At 41.8% G+C, this 21,508-nt stretch overlaps 1 protein-coding gene and 1 pseudogene across 5 annotated transcripts in view; one reads left to right on the plus strand and one right to left on the minus strand.

Moving 5' to 3' along the window:
* PIWIL3 (piwi like RNA-mediated gene silencing 3) overlaps nucleotides 1-21,508 on the minus strand; it is a 55,687-nt gene that overhangs the window by 26,031 nt on the left and 8,148 nt on the right. For 2 of the 4 annotated variants that reach the window (NM_001255975.1, NM_001008496.3), the window contains exons 2-12: nucleotides 17,334-17,457; nucleotides 14,805-14,925; nucleotides 12,844-12,975; nucleotides 11,427-11,641; nucleotides 10,720-10,841; nucleotides 9,720-9,800; nucleotides 8,950-9,153; nucleotides 6,323-6,434; nucleotides 4,629-4,755; nucleotides 4,340-4,457; nucleotides 3,843-3,957 (exon numbers count right to left, since the gene is read on the minus strand). In NM_001255975.1, coding sequence (NP_001242904.1) covers nucleotides 3,843-3,957; nucleotides 4,340-4,457; nucleotides 4,629-4,755; nucleotides 6,323-6,434; nucleotides 8,950-9,153; nucleotides 9,720-9,800; nucleotides 10,720-10,841; nucleotides 11,427-11,641; nucleotides 12,844-12,975; nucleotides 14,805-14,925; nucleotides 17,334-17,435 — 1,449 coding nt within the window. In that variant the 5' untranslated portion in view covers nucleotides 17,436-17,457. Of the gene's footprint in view, nucleotides 1-3,842; nucleotides 3,958-4,339; nucleotides 4,458-4,628; nucleotides 4,756-6,322; nucleotides 6,435-8,949; nucleotides 9,154-9,719; nucleotides 9,801-10,719; nucleotides 10,842-11,426; nucleotides 11,642-12,843; nucleotides 12,976-14,804; nucleotides 14,926-16,814; nucleotides 16,898-17,242; nucleotides 17,458-21,508 lie in introns of all 4 variants that reach the window. The other 2 variants (NR_045649.2, NR_045648.1) reach the window with 2 other exon arrangements.
* On the plus strand, nucleotides 19,437-20,957 carry TOP1P2 (DNA topoisomerase I pseudogene 2; annotated as a pseudogene). The gene has a single exon (NR_001283.1). The product of NR_001283.1 is annotated as a DNA topoisomerase I pseudogene 2 (transcript).

The raw sequence follows: 21,508 nt of genomic DNA on the forward strand, positions 1-21,508 counted from the left end.
AGGAATTTTGGAAACTATACAAACACATGGAAACTAAACAATATGCTCCTGAATGACCACTGTTCATGGGTCAAATTAAGGAAATTGAGACTTTTCTTGAAACAAATGATAATGAAACCATGACATACCAAAACCTATGGGATACAGCGAAAGCAGTAATAAGAGGGAATTTTATAGCTATAAGTGCCTACATCAAAAGAGCAAAACTTCAAACCACCTAATGACGCATCTTAAAGAATTAGAAATACAAAGCCAGATGTGGTGTCTCACACCTGTAATCCCAGCACTTTGGGAGGCCGAGATGGGCAGATCACTTGAGGTCAGGAGTTCAAGACCAACCTGGCCAAGATGGCAAAATCCCAGGTGCTGGGACTCGGGAGACTGAGGCACAAGAATTGCTTGAACCAGGGAGGTGGAGGTTGCAGTGAGCCAGAATCACCCCACTACACTCCAGCCTGGGCAACAGAGTGAGACTCTGTCTCTAAATAAATAAACAAACAAACAAACAAAAGCAAGAGCAAACCAAGCCTAAAAGAATGAAGATCATAGAGCCAAGAAAAATGAAATTAAAATGAAGAAAATATAAAAGATCAATGAAACAAAAGGTTTTTTGAAAAGATAAACAAAACGGACAAATCTTTAGTCAGACTAAGAAAAAAAAAAAAAAAAAAAAAGAAGATCCAAATAAGTAAAACCAGAGATGAAAATGGAGAGGACAACCAATATTGCAGAAATGTAAAGGTTCATTCCTGGCTACTATGAGCAACTATATGCCAGTAAATTGGAAAATCTAGAAGAAATGGAAAAATTACTAAACATATACAACCTACCAAGATCAAACCATGAAGAAATCCAAAACCAGAACAGACCAATAACAAGTAATAAGATCAGAGATGTAATAAAAAGTTTCCCAAAGAAAAGCCCAGGACCTGATCGCTTCACTGCTGAATTCTGCCAAACATTTAAAGAAGAACTAATACCAATCCTACTCCTATTCCGAAAAATAGAGGAGGAGGGAATACTTCCAAGTCATTTCATGAAGTATTACTAAAACCAAAGACACATCAAGAAAAGAAAACTACAGGCCAATATCTCCAATGAACACTGATATAAAAAATCCTCAACAAAATACCAGCAAACAATTTACTAACACAGTAAAAAAAGTTCATCACCAAGTGGGATTTGTCCCAGGGATTCAAGGATGGTTCTATGTAGGCAAATCAACATGATATATCCACAGAATGAAGGACAAACTCATATGATCATTTCAACTGATGCTGAGCAGCATTTATTAAAATTCAATATCCCTTCATAATTGAAAACCCTCAAAACCTGGGTATAGAATGAACATATTTCAACATAATAAAAGCCATACACTTCAGACCCACAGCTAGTATGGGAAAAAACTGAAAGCCTTTTCTCCAAGATCTAGAATACAACAAGGATGCTCCCTGTCACCATTGTTATTCAACATAGTACTAGAAGTCCTAGCTAGAGTCATCATACAAAAGATTAAGATAATCCAAATTGCAAAGATAGGATCTGATATTTGGAAAAATCTAACGACTCCAAAAAAAAAAAACATAGAACTGATAAATTTAATAAAGTTGCAGGATACAAAAAAACAAAAAATCAGTAGCATTTCTATATGCTAACAGTGAACAATCTGAAAAAGAATCCCATTTACAATAGATAAAAATAAAATACCTAGGAATTAACCTAACCAAATTAGTGAAAGATCCCTACAATGAAAACTATAAAACACTGATGCAAGAAATTTAAGAGGCCACACACAAAAATGAAGATATTCCATGTTCATGAATTAGAAGAATCGATACATTAAAATGTCCATATTATCCAAAGCAATCCCTATCATAATACCAAGGGTATTCTTTATAGAAACAGAAAAAACTATCCTAAAACTTATTTTAAAACCAAAAGACCCAGAATTCCATAAGCTATCCTAAGCAAAAAGAACAAAACTGGAAGAATCATATTACCTGACTTCAAATTATACTACAGAGCTATAGTAACCAAAATGGCATGGTACTGGCATAAAAACAGACATATAGACCAGTGGATCAGAAATAGAGAACCCAAAAATAAATCCATATCTACTGTGAACTCATTTTTGACAAAGGAACCAAGAACATACATTGGGGAAAGGACAGTCTCTTCTGTATATCCATATGCGGAAGAATGAAACTAGATCCCTATCTCTCACCATATATTAAAAAAAATTAAGATGGCTTGAAGACATAAATCCAAGACCTCAAACTATGAAACCACTACAAGAAAACATTGGGGAAACTCTCCAGGACATTAGAGTGAGCAAAGATTTCTTGAGCAATACCCCACAAGCACAGGCAACTAAAGCAAAAATGGATATGTAGGATCACATCAAGTTAAAAAGCTTCTATGTAGCAAAGGAAACAAAGTAGAGCAACAACTCACAGAATGGGAGAAAATATTTGCAAACTACCTGTCTGACAAGGGATTAATAACCAAAATCTAAGGAAAGCAAACAACTTTATAGGGGAAAAATAATCCAATTAAGAATGGACAAAACACTTGAACAGACATTTCTGAAGACATACAAATAGCAAACAGGCATATGAAAAAGTGCTGATATCAATGATCAGAGAAATGCAAATCAAAACTACAATGAGATATCATCTCACCCCAGTTAAATGGCTTTTATGCAAGACAAGCAATAACAAATGTTGGTAAGGATGTGGAGAAAAGGGAGCCCTCATACGCAGTTGGTGGGAATGTCAATTACTATAACCACTATGGAGAACAGTTTGGAGGTTCCTCAAAACACTAAAAATAGAGCTAACATATGTTGCAGCAATCCCACTCCTAGGCATATAGCCAAAATAAAGGAAATTAGGATATTGAAGAGATATCTGTACTTCCATGTTTATTGCAGCACTGTTCACAATAACCCAGATTTGGAAGCAATGTAAATGTCCAACAGATAAATGGATGAAGAAAATGTGATACATATACACAATGGAGTACTATTCAGCCGTAAAAAAAACAATGAGACCCTGTCATTTGCAACAAGGCTGGAACTGAAGGTCACTGTGTTAAATGAAATTAGCCAGGCACAGAAAAATGAGCTTTACATGTTCTCACTTATTTGTGGGATCTACAAGATGAAAACAATTGAACTCATGGAGATAGAGTAGGATGGTTACAGAGTCTGGGAAGGGTAGTGGGAGGTTGGAGGAGAATGTGGGGATGATGGTTAATGGGTACAAAAAATAGAAGAAATGAGTAAGACCTAGCATCTGCTAGTACAAAAGGGTGACTAAAGTAAAAAATAATTTGTGTATTTTAAAATAACTAAAAGAATATAATTGGTTTGTAACATGAAGGACAAATGCTTGAGGGGATAGATACCCCACTTAACCTGATGTGATTATGCACTGCATGCCTGTATCAAAATACCACATGTAACCCATAAATATACATACCTACTATGTACCCACAAAAACTAAAGATAACAAAATTTAAATAAAGTTTTTTTGACATAGGTTAGTGAATTACTTTGATTCTAGGTACTTGACTCTTAAGGATATATTTGAAAAAATGGATCTTCCAAATGCCATGAGCAATTGTCCAGAATATTAATTAGATAGACATAATACAGAGCTTACTATGTGCCAAGCACCTTACATTCATTCTTAGTGTTTCTTATTGGCTCAATATAGAAAGAATGAGCAGTCTGAAAAAAGAACAGCAGTCGTAGTCATTACTGAGACTCAAGTTAGTTCCTTTTTGCTTTACTCTTCATTTGACCCCACCATGACATGATGATTTTGAAACTGTCTTACCATTCTTCTGCCTTGCACGATGTTTGCGTTTTTCAAAACTCTTCCCGGGACGGACAAAAAATTGGTATCAAATTTCAAATCCCAGAGTTGAAGTAACTCTCGTACTTTTTTATTACTGAAAATTAAAATATTGCCAACATGATCAAACCAAATAAGTAAAAGCAGCTAGCCATTTGTGCAAGGCAATTTCCTTCTATTCCAAGGTTCACCATCACTTGTCCGCAGCATTGAGATGCGGCAGTACCTTCCCTGAAACTCAGAAATCTTGTTTTTGCTTTCATGTTCATATAGGTACTTATAGCCTTTTGATTTCATTCTTCCCCCCCGGCCTCCTAATCTTGCAATGACAGAAAAACTAGAGTTGTCCCCCAACATCAAAATTCTTCCCATTGTCACTTGCTTGTAGAAGAATCTGACATGCCAGGGCTGAGATGCCATCAGCTTCACTGGGACACCATGCACATGTACACACACTCAGCCAGAAAAGCAGCACTTACTCTTGTAGAGTATTGATGAATTCTTTTAATGTATGATGCCTTCTTCTTGGACTCAATCTTGTATGTTTAGCCAATTCTTTCACAATGCTATAATCTTTACATATTTCATCTGTTAGACCTTTAAAAAAATCCAAAAGATACAGCTGAACAAGCATGAATTTGAGTGAGGACTAAATTATAACAGCTGGAGGAACCTACTACCAAGGAGACACCCTTCGAATTCCCTGAAAAGCCTGCGTTAAGTCGTAATTATACCTGACTTTAAAGAGGGGCTGTAATCCATCAGTACCTGTCATGTGGCACAGCTGAGGAATCAGCAGGATAGGTTCACGTTGTGTACCCGTTAGGCCCTTTTTCCATCTGCCCTGGCTGACCAAAAGTGGCTGTTTCTTCACTGTGACAATTTCTTTATGTTGCTGCTCAACAAACAAGAGACCAGCATGACCATCAGTGAAACCTTAGAAACATCACACACAGAGGTTCAAAAGTGCATGTGTGGGACTACAAATGAAGGGCCACAGGCGTGCTGGTGATATAGGTTCCCCAAGTTTAATAGTGTACTATGAATACTCTCAAAATTCTCTTACCTTTGATATGCCACGGATCTTTTCTTGTGAGCATACTTGGCCAAATACAGGACTCCCACCAAACATGACGCTGGAGTCGTCAAGCTACTCTAACATTGTATATGAGAATGGGTGAGACAGTATCTGAGGTTCTCACCACAGTCTTGCCTTTAAAACTCCCAAAGCATACTGAAAACCGTCAAGAGGACAGTTTAAAGAGGGGCTGTAAGCCACCAGTACCTGTCATGTAGCACAACTGAGGAATCAGCAGGATAGTTTCACATTCAGGATAGGTTCACCCGTTAGGCCCTTTTTCCATCTGCCCTGGCTGGCCAAAAGTGGCTGCTTCTTCACAGTGAACACTCAGATTGAGGAATCCATGTCTTACAAGATTAGCACATAACTGACATCATTTTACATGTTAATCATTTTTATTCTTTTTGGACTGAGTTCTACAGGGCTGAGATTTCTAGATAAGTAATATTTTCTTATCTGAAGTCTTACCACATTTGATTTTTTTTCTTTTTTTTTTTTTTGAGATGGAGTTTCACTCCTGTTGCCCAGGCTGGAGTGCAACGGCGCGATCTTGGCTCACTGCAACCCCCGCCACCCGGGTCCAAGCAATTCTCCTGCTTCAGCCTCCTGAGTAGCTGGGATTACAGGCACGTGCCACCATGCCCGGCTAATTTTGTATTTTTAGTAGAGACGGGGTTTCTCCGTTTTGGTCAGGCTGGTCTCGATCTCCTGACCTCAGGTGATCCGCCCTCCTTGGCCTCCCAAAGTGCTGGGATTACAGGTGTGAGCCACTGCGCCCGGCCCATATTTGATTATCTACCAAACAACCCAACCACATTTAAAAAACTATGGTAGTAGGCTGGATGCAGTGGCTCATGCCTGTAATCCCAGCACTTCGGGAGGCCAAGGCAGGCGGATCACCTGAGGTCGGAAGCTCGAGGCCAGCCTGACCAATATGGTGAAACCCCGTCTCTACTAAAAATACAAAAATTAGCCAGGCGTGGTGGCAGGTGCCTGTAGTCCCAGCTACTTGGGAGGCTGAGGCAGGAAAATTGCTTGAACCTGAAAGGTAGAGGTTGCAATGAGTAGAGATCATGCCACTGCATTCCAGCCTGGGAGACGGAACGAGACTCCAACTCAAAAAAAAAAAAGTATGATAGTAGCCACTTTTAAGACTGAAAGAAGGGAAAGAAGGGATCACACTGGCACCATTCTAGTTATGTGACATTACCCTATATACAAGGCACGTGGATGCATGGATAATAGATAAGTCAAGCTATAATCCCCTAAAAGGAAAATATGTATGTTTATATGACAAATATGTTCAAGTAGCTAAATAACACAAACTGAAATACATGAAGGTTTACAATTTAAATATATTTAAAGAAATACAGTTTCATACCTGCCTGTAGTAGTCTATATAGGTGATTTTGCTGCCATCTGATTTGTTAAATGTGTCTTCAGGATTCTGCTTCCAATCAATATCATCTACTCTGTAGGTTTTGTTGTTGTATCTGTGGAATAATTACAATATGGTATTATTTGACTTATTCATCACATGGAACCATCCACACAGAAAATAGACATTTTTAATCCTGCAAGGAATTGCAGAATATATTAGATTTACTTAAGATGTAATTCACATACTGTACAACTCACCCATCTGAGCATACGATCACCTGGTTTTTACTACAGCCACAGAGTTGTGCAATCATCAAGACAAAGCAGCAGCATAACCATAGGCAGTCACTTCCCATTTTAGCCTAATCCACCAGCCTTCAGGCAGCCACTAGCCTACTTCGTGTCTCAACACATTTGCTCATTCATTTCACGTAAACTGAGTCATGCAACGTGTGCTCTTTCCCGACTGGCTTCTTTCACTTAGCATCATGTTTAAGGTTCATCCATGCTGTAGTAAGTCTTGGCACTTAATTCTTTTCATTTCCAAATAATATTCTATTGTATGATATCCCACCTTTTGTTTATCCATTCACCAGCTGGACATTATGGTTGTATATACTTTTGGTTACCATGAATAAGGTTATGAACATTTATGTGCCGATTTTAATAAATATGTTCTCATTTCTCTTGTGTATTTAAGTAGGAGTAAAATTTCTGGTTCATATGGTGATGATATAGGAGTTAAAATGGAATTTAGGTGGTTAGTAAGGGTAAAAGTTCTCGGTGGAATTTTCTCTTAATAAAAAAGCAGCCTCCAAATCATTTTTCTAACAAAAAGCAGCCTGAAAAAATCAAGCTGCAAACATAGATAAGCAAGCTGGAAGCTTACATAGTTGGATGCTGGCAGTTATGCCAGAAGCCAGTATATCCAACATGGAGGTTCTCTTCCCTTCTCCTTGTCCCTGCCATGTGTGCAGGTGTTATGGTGCCCGCCCACCAGATGGAGATCACATCTGCATAATGAAAGATTAGGGTGGGATGGCCAGCCTCTTCGCAGGCTATGTAAATGGCACACCTGGTCCAACCAATCCTCTGGGCCCTACGTAAATCAGACACCACCTCCTCAAGCCCCTCTATAAAACCAACTGCATCCCTCTGCAAAGCAGGAGATTCATTCGGAATGCCCCTCCCCCTGCAAGGGGGCACTTTTCTCTTCTTTCACCTATTCAGCTTTCCGCTCCTAAACCCACACTTTGTGGGTCTATGTCTTTGTTTTCCTTAGTGTGAGACAAACCTCATATATTTCCTCAAACGAGGCCACTTCAGTAATGCATATCGTTAGCATTTTAAGAAAGTGCCAGACTGTTTTACAAAGAAGCCATACCATTTAATATTCCTACAAGCAGCATACGAGAGAGTTGCTTCTGATCTTTCCACATCCTTGCCAACACTTGTCAATATCTAATTTTAACCATCCTAGTGGGTGTGAAATGATATCTCATTGTGGTTTTCACTTGCATTTCCATGATGGCTACTGATGTTAAACGTTTTCACGCATCTATTGATCATTTGTACATTTTAAGAAATATATCTGGAGAAGTATCTAATCAGATCTTTTGTCCATTTTAAAAATTATGTTGTCTCTCAAGTATTGTTTGTATATTCTAGATACAGGTTACTTATGTGATTTGCAAACATTTTCCCCAGTTTTTCCAGTTGTGTTTTCACAATTTTGATAGTATAGTTTGAATAAGTTTTTAATTTGGTGAAGCCCAATGTATCTATGTTTCTTTTGTTATCACTTCTGCTTTGAGTGGCTTATCTAAGGTTTCCCTAGCTCAAAGTCAAAAAGATTCAGTCCTATATTTTCTAAGAATGTTATGCTTTTAGTTCTTACATCTAGGTCTATTGAGTTGGTTTTTGAGTTAAACTGGAATTGTGTGAATTGCATGAGGAAGAAGCAGGTGGATGTTCAGTTGTCCCAGCAACATTATTGAAAAGACTATTCTTTCCCCTATTGAATTGCCTTGACACACTTGTCAGAAGTCAGCTGACGAAGTGGAGGGTTAACCTTCTGTACTCTATTTCATTGGTCTCTGTCTGTCTTTAGACCAACATCACACTGTCTTGATTACCAGAACTTTCTGGTAAGTTTTAAAATTGAGAAGTGTGAGTCCTCAAATTGTGTCCCTGTAAGGTTGTGTTGGCTAAGTAACTGGTTCTTTAAATCCATTCTCTTACCAATTTAAGGTTTCTGCTGTAGAAAGATTTTAAAACTTCCTTCAAATGGGAAATTGCTGATGGGTTATAACTAAGCACTGATTTTTAAACCAGCTAAATGCCCACAAAAGAGCAAAAGGAAAGAAATTCAGAAACAGCTTAGTGTTATGTGCAAGGTAGGGTTCAGAACAAATGGACTGGCATTAGGGATTTCAAGAAGAGTGAAGTCTACAATTGACACATTCTTCTCCCAAGTTGTATAACCAGAGGAGAGACGTGTTCAGTTGTTCTTGCAATTTCTACTCCTCAACTTCAACATTTAGTGATTAGAAAACTATAGGACCATCTCTTGGGGTGGGGGAAGGGGGAGTTAAAGTGATTGGATAGGTTTTTAAAAGACAGACTTACTTTGTCAGAACAATTGATCCAATTAATTTATTAGTTACTTCCTCTCGGATGTTTCCTGTCTGGGCCTGGGCAGATGTTCTCTTTATGAAATCATAAGCAGTTTCTATTCGGAGCAGTTTGTGGCTCACATCGGCACAGAGGGTAATGCTGTTTTCGTATTGAAGAACAGAAGTAACATAACCAAGCCAGATTTCCAAACTGGTACTAGAATAAATTACATGAGAGTATTAGTCCGATCTCTTCACATAAAGCCAAGGGTTTCCAAGCCTAAGCTCTGGGTCTAAAAATTGGTACTTAGGAGTCAGTTTTAAGTATTTATTCTTAGTCTTTTGAAGGACCTTCAGATAAACATTTATCAGATGTGCTATTTTTGTTCAACTATGTTTTGTCACCCACAGGCTTAAAGTGTCATATCCATATTTATCTGTAACATAACTTATGTTTAATATACACATATACCAGTGAGTAATATATATAGTTGCTATGATTGAAGATATTTTCAAAGACAAATTATACATTTTGGATGATTGTTTAGGCTTCTTAATGTGTGTGCAACAACTGAATATCTCAAACGTTTATATTTGTCATGCTAAGATTTTTAAAGTAACTCTTACTGAGTTGACATTACACTAAATTGTTCATGGTCAGTGGATACCATTTAAAAGGCCATCACTTTTAAGGCATACCACTTCAAATATGAAATGAATAACTTTCTCAAAAAATCCTACGTTTAAGTCTGCAGAGTGTGAAATTTTCTACTTTATACAAACCCATGACGGTATAACTGAATGGCCTTCTTTTTGGTATAATAGTTGCGACCAACTTGTTCAAAATCCAGCAGCTTGAAAGTTCTGGAAATGGAAAGAATAGATTTTGTTGAAAGTACAGGGTACATTATTAAGCATTTGGTAAGACACATAAGGGAAAAAAAATCTGTCAATGACTGTTTATATTATCAATGAACACAAAGTACTTGTTAACTAAGTTACATGATGAGGTGGATATTAAGGTTCATTTAACCTCATTTGTTCCATCTCCTTATAAACATAATATTGTAGAAAGGTTACCAAAATGTTCTTCATTCTCAAAACTGAACTAAGGTCTCTTTTTCAAACTGTCTTTTTTTGGAGACAGAGTCTCGCTCTGTTGCCCAGGCTGGAGTGTGGTGGCACAATCTCTGCTCACTGAAACCTCCACCTCCTGGGACCAAGTGATTCTCCCGCCTCAGCCTTTCAAGTAGCTGAAACCACAGGCACCTGCCACCATGCCTGGCTAATTTTTGTATTTTTAGTAGAGGAGGGGTTTCACCATGTTGGCCAAGCTGGTCTGGAACTCCTAACCTCAAATGATCCACCCGCCTCAGCCTCCCAAAGTGCTGGGATTACAGGCGTGAGCCACCACGCCCGGCCTCAAACTCTGCCTTTCAAATTTTAACTTTCAATATTTTGTCATTGTAGTGACCACAGAATAAAAAATGCATTTGCTACAGAGACATACACAGATGTGCACAGCTGATGTCTATTACTCTTTCTAGGCAGGTATGAGACAAAGAACGGGCATCGGCCAGGAGAAGAACATTGAGGATAAGCCACTGAACTTGCATATTCCAGTTGAGCCTCAAGTATCATTTCATCTCCAAGACCCTTCACTCTCTTAATACATGAGGACTAGGAAGAACACTAAGTGCTAGAAGCAAATGGCTGTATTCCACACCACTACACAGTAAAACAACCGAATGAGTATCAAAGAAACTCAACCCCGGTAACATACCTTCTAAAGAGAATGTTGTAATAGCGTAGGCAATCTGGCGACGTGGGCGTGAGTTCTTTGGAAAACTCAACTGTAATCTTCACGATGTTTTTGTCTTTGGTTGTGCTCAACCATTCCACTCTCTGAGATTAAAAAAAAACAAAAAAAAAAGTCCAGATATTCTTCCAAAAAACTAAACTTCATTGCACGGCAAATCACCATGTCACCTGGCTATCCAACACACCATCGTGATGGAGCAGTCTTTCCCACAAAAGTACGTGCGTGTGGAAAACATGATTCACAAGAGTGAAGAGTTGGAATTAAATATTTAAGTCGAAATATTTTACTTAAGCTCCTGAAAGCAATTTAATTGTTCAGTTAATATAAAAATTTAAAGAAGAAAATAAGTTCTCTAACTTGTTTTCTGCTAGGAGTGGGGGGCTGAAGTTTCAAAGGAAACAAATAGAATAAAAAAAAAAGTATCCAAACTTTGTCAGCATTTTTGAGCCACATTGTATTATTAAATTTCATTTAAGCATTAAAATCAGAGGCATTATTGAATATCAGTGATAACCGAACATGGCACATAGGTTTCACAACAAGTCATATGGGCAAGAGAGCCTTGGGATGTCTCAACAAACAACTGCACAAAAACAATAGGTGTTTTATTATAATAAAGTGAAAACAAGAGAAAGAACACAGGAAAATGTGAAACAACATTACTTAACCCGCTCTTTTAGTGGCCGAGATAATAATAAAGAGTTTCCATCAAATATATGGCGCTCTCCAAATTTCCTTCTATGTTGATCAAGTAAAATTGTACGGAGATTTCCATCTTCTATGTCTGGTTTGTAGTCAACGTTGTATTTATATGCAACCCACTGAGGACGAGATATCACTCGGAAGTGGTTGGCGAGTAGCTGTACCACTGTACCCTCTGAACCTGAAAAATGGAGCCACATGACAATAAAGAAACAGACTGATTGGGCCCAAAACAAACAGTTTGGACACTACAATATTAAAAGCCAAAGTTAGGGCTGGGCACGGTGGCTCACGCCTCTAATCCCAGCACTCTGGGAGGCCAAGGCGGGTGGATCACCTGACATCAGGAGTTCCAGACCTGCCTGGCCAACATGGTGACCCCATATCTACTAAAAATACAAAAAGTTAGCTGGGCACAGTGGCAGGTGCCTATAATCCCAGCTACTCGGAAGGCTGAGACAGGAGAATCACTTGAACCCAGGAGGCAGAGGTTGCAGTGAGCTGAGATCATACTATTGCCCTCCAGCCTGGACAACAAGAGCTAAACTCCGTCTCAAAAAAAAAAAAAAAAAAAAAAAGAAAAGAAAAGAAAAGCCAAAGTTAGGTCAGACAAGGAGATAAATGACATTTGTAATGCACCTGATGTCCAGAATGCCTATCAATTCAATGAGCCCTTATGCAAGCATACATTTAGGAAGTTTAAGATACTGAATAGATTGAAAATTAGAACATTTGTGGTTTCCAAAAGGAGAGAAAGCGCCACCCTATGTAATAATATTTAATTTTAAAAAAAGTCTCACTGCAGGCCAGGGCACAGTGGCTCACACCTATAATCCCAGCCCTTTGGGAGGCCCAGGTGGGAGGATGGTTTGGGCCAGGAGTTCCAGACCAGCTTGGGCAAGGTGGGAGGCACCTCTACTTACAGTGATGACAGAAGCTTTCCAGAATCTATTAAAGTTTTTATCGAAAGTTTAAAATGGGCCAGGTGTGGTAGCTCATTCCTGTAATCTCAGCAGTTTGGAAGGCCCAGGTGTAAGGATGGCTTGGGCCAGTTCTAGACCAGCAAGACCGTGTCTCTACAAAATTTACATACACACACACACACACACACACATATATAAAATATGTATATATTACACACACACACACACACACACACACACACACACACACACATTCGGGCATGGTGGTGCCCACCTGTAGTCCCAGCTACTTGAGCTGGGATCAGCTCAGGATCAGCTGAGCCCAGGAGTTTGAGGCTAAAGTGAGCATCACTGTACTCCAGCCTGGGCGACAGAGCAGGACCTTGTCTCTCAATGAAAAAAAAAAAAAAAAAGTTAAAAACGAACAGCTCCATAAACATTGAGTTCTAGACCAACATACCTGTTTTTGAGTCTTTAACATGCTTCATATCTTGCCTGGTGTTCACCACCAGGTCTTGAAAAACTCCACCAATCCTTCTCTCCTGCAAGGGCGCTGTATGCAACCCAGCCTCAGGTCCAGGTTCCTTCACCCCTGCATAAATGTAAACGCCAGAAGTTTAAACAATAAAAAGGGAAGAATAGAAAAGACAGCATTAACACCCAGCATAAGTTTGTTAGAGGTAGAAAAGATGCCACCCAAGGTTCCAAAACACATTTCCGTGATATGTTGCCGCAAAAGCGTAACCTTACCCAGAAACCTTTCCCAAGGAGTCCCCAGTTCACATCCGTGGTTGCCTTGGCACTTTATTCATTCCTGCTACATATGTGCCCCATTTCTTTGGGTATTTGTTCATGGTACAAGATTCTAGAAACTTTGGTTCTGTCTTTAAGCCTATCTCCTGGCGCTATGCTGCCCCCTAGTGGGCATCATAAAATGCCAAATAAGCCAATCATTTAAAAAATCTATAAAACTGGCTTTTAATACAAAACTGATCTATCCTTTCTATTAAGAGCAACTAGGAAAGGATCACACTCACTATTTCAACTTACATTCTAAGGTTCATATCGATGTAGCTATTCTACAAAGTTAACATTTAAATGACAGCACAATGCGGTCTTTCAGTGACGAGAGGCATCCTGAAGGAATACGCACACGTTATTGTAAATCCCGTACACCTAAATGGCCAAGACGTCTGTGCCTTGGGTTACAATAATGGTTTGCCTCAAAATTTTACTTCTGGAGTCTAGTTTTTAGTTTATGATGATCTTACAAAGTAAGTGTCTCCATTTCTGTGACAGACTAACTACATTTTACACATAAAATTTGAAACAATTTTATCAAACTCCCAACTAGTTCCTGACACATCCAGCAATCAAATTCATCATATTAAAATGTCAGCAAAAGAAAACAGGTATCCTAGCTTGGCACCTTGGCACTCGCTACAAACCACATACTTTTATCTTTTCAGACGGAGTCTAACTGTCACCCAGGCTGCAGTGCAGTGGCACTGTCTCAGCTCACTGGAACCTCTGCCTCCTGGGTTCAAGTGATTCTCCTGCCTCAGCCTCCCTAGTAGCTGGGACTACAGGCGCATACCACCATGCCCAGCTAATTTGTATATTTTTGGTAAAGATGGGATTTTGCCATGTTGGCCAATCTGGTCTTGAACTTCTGGCCTCAAGTGATCCACCCACCCGGGCCTCCCAAAGTGCTGATGTGAGCCACTGCACCCAGTCCATGTAATTTACACATACTATTTAATAACAACCCTTCAGATAGGATCTGATTATTAAAAATGTGTTTTAATTTATTCAAATGTATAAGCTCATTTTATAGGTTCTGGATTTTGTAACCATTTGTTAATATTTATCTATAATACAATTCTTTTTTAGTGTTTCAAGTTTTGACTCATCACAAGCTATTTTGCTATAGAAAGCAAAGAGGAGAATCCAGACTGAAGTTGGATCACATTAGCCGAAACCTTAGCAAATGACAATATCTGAGCCTGTGTGCATGAGTGCTGTATAAACGAGGATAACCTGTCAGCCTGCAATGTAGGTAACAGGTTCAACCTGTTAATGCCACAATTTAAAGAGGAAAGAAAATGGTGTTCTTAGAATTCCATTAAGTTAACTTAGAGTTATCATCTGCAGATGTGTCATCTAAATTTGAAAAGCAATTATGTTGAACTGGCCAATAAACAGTGACCTCCATCTCCCTTCCACAAGTTAAGACACAAGGTGAAGAAAACACCATCAGATAATTCACTGCACAAAGAGAGACAGTTGCAAGCTGCACACACTTCCCATCCCACCAAACCTCACGGGAGTCCTGAGGCTATCTAGAACCTTCTACCGCTGTGGTAGCCCTTCACACATGAAGCATCCCCTGCCCCTCATGTCCTTCTTGCTTCCTTTCACCTTGAGACTGTGCTCCTCCTCCTGCTCCTCCTCTTGCTGCTCTTGGCTGCAGAGGTCTAACCACTGGGACTTCCTCCTGCAGCGGCCGGGGTGTCGACTGCAACTGAGGGGGCTCCTGGGTCTGCATGTTTTTGGAAATAGAAATAATGAGCAGTGCCCTACTGTGTTCATTCTCCCTCCAAATGGCACTCGCAGGGCACAAGGCAAAGGAACTTCCTCTGAAAAGCTCACATTCCAGTGACATAAACTAAGTTGTAATAAGCAACATACATAGCACCTTGTGTGGTAATTGCTAAGGAAAAAAACAAAAAAAGGACAAAACAAACCGAGGAGAATCAGGAATTACTGGGAAGGTAGGGTGTGAAGGGGCAGGTTTCACTAGCTGATGGGGGCAAAAGCGGGCCTCAGTGAGAAAGTGACACAGAACCCAAGACTTGGAGGTACTGAGTGAATTAGCAAAGTTACCCAAGCCAGCAGTGGAAGAAAAAGAGCAGAGTTCTGCAGTTGGGAACGTTCAAGGAAGAATGAGGCAGCCAGTGTGGCTGGAAGAAGAGGGTGAGAGATGTCAGTGAGATGAAGGGAAGGAGGTCATTTTAAGGAAATTGCTTCTGACTGATAAAATGAGAGCTGTGACAGAGGCCAGGTGCAGTGGCTCACGCCTGTAATCCCAGCACTTTGGGAGGCCGAGGCAGCCAGATCACCTGAGATCGGGAGTTCAAGACCAACATGGAGAAACCCCCGTCTCTACTAAAAATACAAAACTTAGCTGGGCATGGTGGCACATGCCTGTAATCCCAGCTACTCAGGAGGCTAAGGCAGGAGAATCGCTTGAACCCAGGAGGCAGAGGTTGCAGTGAGCCAAGATCACGCCATTGCACTCCAGCCTGGGCAACAAGAGCGAAACTCTGTCTCAAAAAAAAAAAAAAAAAAAAAAAGCTGTGACAGGATACCAGGCAGAGGAACGACATGAACTAATTTGTCAGGTTCCATGTTGGGAACAGGCTGAGAGACAAGGAAATAGCAAGGGATGTGAGCTGTTTGGGCCAGAGGCCAGGATAGGGGTGGTGAGAAATTGTCTGATACTGGATAGTTTTTGAGAAAACAATCCCGTGGTTGTTTTTGAGAAGGGCTTGAGGTCATGGAGATAGGATGAAAGCACAGACTTTTGGCCTGAGCAAATGGAAGAATGGAAGTCCTTCTGATGAGGTGGGTATGGCATGCTGGGGAGGGCAGGTTGGGAGTGTGAGTTGTCCACGGACACCCGTGGGGGTGTTAGGTGGTGCAGGAGAGGTTCTGGCCAACGAGATAAATATGGGGACCTGTCCACACACCAGAAAGCATTTTGACACTGGATAACTTCACCAAGGGAGTGAGAATATGGAGAAAAAAGATGAGGCTCAAGGGCTGGGTCTTGGCAATATCAAGAGGCCATAGAGGAGAACTCCACAAAGGAGAGCAAGTGGGGGTGGTCAGTGATGAAGGAGGTAACCTAAACGCCAAGCGGAGGGAGTTGACAGGAGAAAAGAGGTCTCAACTGTGCCAACTAAAAGTGAAGAGGCAAGTCTGAGGAGAGCTGCCCTGTGAATCTGGCAGAGTGGAAGGGCCCAGGGAAGGTTTCTTGATGAATGGGAGTGAACTCAGTGAGTCTGTAGACAGACGGGAATGATTTAGGAGAACACACACCTGCTGACTTGGGAGACAGAAAGGCAAGCTGCAGGAGACATGCCCTAGACAGAGGACTGGCTAAGGGGCTAAGTAGAGATATTTGCTTTAGGTAGGAACAAAGATGGTGCCCTAGGATCTCCAGTGAGGGGCTGGACTATGGGTTCAGATGCTCATGAGTGAGGGGACAAGAGAGGGAGCCACTGACACTCTCATTGGATGCTTTGTCTGTCTCGGTGGCACAGAAGTCTATGTTGAAAACCGAGAATTAGGACCAGGAGGAGGAATTGAGGTTGGAGGGCTTAGGAGAAGGAGAGGAGCAACAGTCAAACAGCAGAATAAGTGGACCTGGAAGGCATCGTGCTACTTCCATGCAGTATATGGTCCCCCTGGAGGTTGTCAGATGGGGCCCCGCAGCGCCACTATGGATCCTGCTGTGTGAATGTAAAGTGGATATGCAGTAAGAGAAGACAAAACAGGGCAGGCATAACAAGTTTTCAACAAGGCTGGAAACTCTTATCTAACTCAGGCTATGCCAGTACCTTCAGGAAGTTGCTCATTTTGGGTCACTTCCAAAGAGGAGTCATTGGCTGAAGCCAAGAAATCTAGAAACCTTTGCATCCACTTTGGGCTGAAAGTCAGTCTGCTTGCACATGTGAAAATGTGAGAAGGAAGCAGTGGAGAGTACATCTGAGTAGATAAAGCCTCCCCATGCTGCCATCTATACAGCCTGACTTTTCTTATGAACTTTTATTAGTCCTCACTTAGCACTATACCTGAACTAGCTTCGCTCAACAACCAACTCTATGTTCTTTTCAGTACAGGCACATATCTCTTGCAGAAAGGAAACAACGTTACAGGGCTCACTGTAGCTGATCCAGGTGCTCTGGGTCCCCCAGGTGCCTCTTGTTGGTAGCTCTCCCTGCGGCGGGCTCTGCCTCGGGCGCGAGTCCTTGCCCTACCAGGCATTGTGGTCCTGAAGGTGATGACCCTGAAGAATACAGTTATATTAGACATCTCTGTGGAGTTGCCTGGTGTCTTACTCTCTTTAGGGTTGCTACAACAGAATATCTGAGGCTGGGTAATTTATAAAGGAAGAGGTGTGTTTGGCTCATCATTCTGATGGCTGGAAAGTCCAAGACTGGGCAGCCCATCTGGTGAGGGTCTCATGCTGCTTCAACTCCTGGTAGAAAAAGCAAAAGTGGGGGAGAGATGTGGACAAAGACCACATGGCAAGAAGGGAAACGAGAAACTGAGGAGGCCGGACTCTAACAACCAGCTCAGGCAGGTGCTAATCCAAACTCACTCACCTCCAAGGCAGGGAATTAACCTATTCATAAGGATTCCACCCCCAGGGCCCAAACACCTCCCAGTAGGCCCCACTTCCCAATGCTGCCACATTGGGGATCAAATTTCAGCCTCAGTTTTGGTGGGGACAAGCCATATCCAAACCATAGCACCTGGTAATGTTTTTTTTCCGTTACTATTACTTCCAATAAAGCATCTGGTTACTAACGACACACATTCTCCTATCACATCAAAAAGACTGACTGCCCCCCGAGTCAGCAGAGAAGCATCCTATAATAAAAGACAGGAGACCTGGTAAAACTTTTTTTTCTTTTTTTTTTTTTTGAGAGGGAGTCTTGCTCTGTCACCCAGGCTGGAGTGCAGTGGCGCAATCTCAGCTCACTGCAACCTCTGCCTCCCGGGCTCAAGCAATTCTCCTGCCTCAGCCTCCTGAGGCACACACCACCGCACCCAGCTAGTTTTGTTTGTTTGTTTTTTATTTTGAGAGAGTCTCACTCTGTTGCCCAGGTTGGAGTGCAGCGGGGAAATCTCGGCTCACTGCAACCTCCGCCTCCCGGGCTCCAGCGATTCTCCTGCCTCAGCCTCCTGAGTAGCTGGGATTACAGGCTCGTGCCACCACGCCTGGCTAATTTTTGTATTTTTAGTAGAGACGGGTTTCACCATGTTGGCCAGGCTGGTCGCGAACTTCTGACCTCAGGTGATCCACCCGCCTCAGCCTCCCAAAGTGCTGCGATTACGGGCGTGAACCACCGTGCTCGGCCAAACTTCTCTAGAAATTTAAGGAAACTATGGTTATCTTCCACACAGAGACTCACAAGACACTAGGGGTTACTACGCTTGTCTGTATGAGTCAGTTGAGTACTGGGTTCTTCTCACCTCCCAGGCATCCCCACAAGCACAGCAAGGAGCCCAGGTGCCCCCAGACCCTCCCACCCCACACTTAAACCTCAGCTCCCGCATCCTGAGTGGGACCTCCGCCCACCATCTCCTGCCTCGGCCCTTTGGACTCCGCTCCCACAGCTCACCTGCCCTCCGTCCACAAGAATTAGGCTGATCTGTGCGCTATGCACCGGCGCTCTGTGGCCTCGGGTTCTTGGTCCCAACACCGCAGCGTCCCGGCGCTGATCTCCGCGGGGTCAGAGGCGCAAAGCCCCTTTTCCAAGAGGGAGATCCTCTTGCCTTTCTGGGCACACAGCCCCACGCCCCGCACCGGTCACCAAAATGGCCCGGGGAAATACACGGACCAGCCCAGCCTCCCGCAAGACGTGCCGCACACTCAGGAAAGCAGGCGTCGCCCCCGCCCCAATTCAATTTCAACCCTGGGGTCCCGGCCTCTTCTGGCGCCGCCTCCGTCCGGCCGAAAGAGGCCACGATGAGCTGCACGTGGCGGACTCAAGAGATGCCGCGAAGTCTCCCAGGGATGGGAGTGGGGCTGGCTCGCCCTGCCTTCTTGCCTCACCATTAACCATTCCTGGATTTACCTGCCAGGTGCTCTTACAAAACGATGTGCACTTGGAGCCCCAGGATGCAGCCATTACCACTTAGTAGCTTTAACCAACTCCCTGCTGGGGCCGGTGTAACTAAATGCAGCTGCTATGACCGTCCTTGGATTCAAACCTAGAAGCACCCTTACTCATCTGGTAAGCACTGATCTCTAGAGGTGGATCCGCTGTCATGGGTAAACTTTCCAGTAGTTCTTAAATAAAAATAAAATAAAAAACCTTGTCTCTTGTATCTGCTTTTTCATCTATTTATTCCAGGTTTCTGTCATTCTTTTTGACCTTGCCGTGTGTGTGTGTGTGTGTGTGTGTGTGTGTGTGTGTGTGTGTGTTGAGACAGGATCTCTCTCTTTTGCCCAGGCTGGAGTGCAACAATGCAATCTCCACTCACTGCAACCTCAACCTCCCGGGCTCAAGAAATCCTCCCACTTCCGGGCGTCCTAATTGAGAAGATTCACAACAAAACCCAGCGGGAAAAGTTTGCCTGCCATTGGCATGGCTGATGAAGACTAGAAGTTTTAGCCAGTCTCAAGGGGCAGGGTTCTGTGAAAAGGAACAGTGTGGTTTGGGAGAAATGGATAAACTGAGCCTCGCTTGCCCTCGTGCCTGGGGGAGAGAGGCAACAAGTCTTAACAAACCAACATCTTTGAGAAAAGATAAACCTGGAGATAATAACATAAGGGAGAGCTGAGCCAGTTGTCCTGTGGACAACTTATTTAAAAATATTTCAGATATCAAAATTCTAGCTGTATGATTTGTTTTGAATTTTGTTTTTATTTTCAAGAGGGCAAATGGATGGGAATTTGTCAGCGTTCTACCAGGCAAATTCACTGTTTCACTGAAATGTTTGGATTCTCTTAGCTACTGTATGAAAAGTCCGATTATATTGGTGTGTTCTTACAGTTGGGGTTTTGCAATAACTTCTGTATTTTAATATAAATAAATTCCTAAACTCCCTCCCCTCTCCCCCATTTCAGGAATTTAAAATTAAGTAGAACAAAAAAACCAGCGCATCTGCTACAGTCGTCACTCTATTGTCATGGGGATCAATCTTCACTAAACTTGAAGCAGTCGTAGCTTTGGCAGTGTTTTGGTTCAGACACCTGTTCACAGAAAAGCATGATGGGAAAATATTTCCTGACTTGAGTCTTCCTTTTTAAATGTGAATTTGTATTTCTTTTTAATTATTTTAAAATATTTAAACCTTTTTCTTGATCTTACAGATCGTGTAGATTGGGGTTGGGGAAGGATGAAGGGCGAGTGAGTCTATGGATAATGAAATAATCAGTGACTGAAACCATTTTCCCATCATCCTTTGTTCTGAGCATTCGCTGTACTTTAAGATACCCATCTTTTTCTTTTTAACCCTAATCTTTCACTTGAAAGATTTTATTGTATAAAAAGTTCCACAGGTCAATAAATTTAGAGGAAAATGAGTATTTGGTCCAAAAAAAAAAAGGAAAAATAATCAAGATTTTAGGGCTTTTATTTTTTCTTTTGTAGTTGTGTAAAAAATGGGGAAAAAAAGCAGAATTTTAATGTGAAGACATTTTTTGCTATAATTATTAGTTTTAGAGGCATTGTTAGTTTAGTGTGTGTGCAGAGTCCATTTCCCACATCTTTCCTCAAGTATCCTCTATTTTTATCATGAATTCCCTTTTAGTCAACTGTAGGTTATTTAAAATAAATTCCTTCAACTTAATGGAAAAAAAAAAAAGAAACCCTCCCACCTCAGCCTCCTGGGTTCAAGAAATCCTCCCACTTCGGCCTCCAGAGTAGCTGGAACTGCAGGTGCTGCCACTACTCCTGGCTAATTTTTTAGTATTTTTTGTGGAGACGGGGTTTCACCATGTTGCCTGGGCTGGTCTTGAGCTCCTGAGCTCAAGCGATCATCCCATCTCAGCCTCCCGAATTTCTGGGATTACAGGTGTGAGCCACCATGCCTAGCCTAGGTTTTTTGTTTTTTTGTTTTGTTTTGTTTTGTTTTTGTTTTTGTTTTGAGACAGAGTCTGGCTCTGTTGCCCAGGCTGGAGTACAGTGGCGTGATCTCAGCTCACTACAAGCTCTGTCTGCTGGGTTCACGCCATTCTCCTGCCTCAGCCTCCCGAGTAGCTGGAAGTACAGGCGCCCGCCACCAGGCCTGGCTAATTTTTTTGTATTTTTTTTAGTAGAGACGGGGTTTCGCCATGTTAGCCAGGATGGTCTTGATCTCCTGACCTTGTGATCCGCCTGCCT

The sequence above is a fragment of the Homo sapiens genome, chromosome 22 (assembly GCF_000001405.40).
Source record: "Homo sapiens chromosome 22, GRCh38.p14 Primary Assembly".
Lineage (NCBI taxonomy): Eukaryota > Metazoa > Chordata > Mammalia > Primates > Hominidae > Homo > Homo sapiens.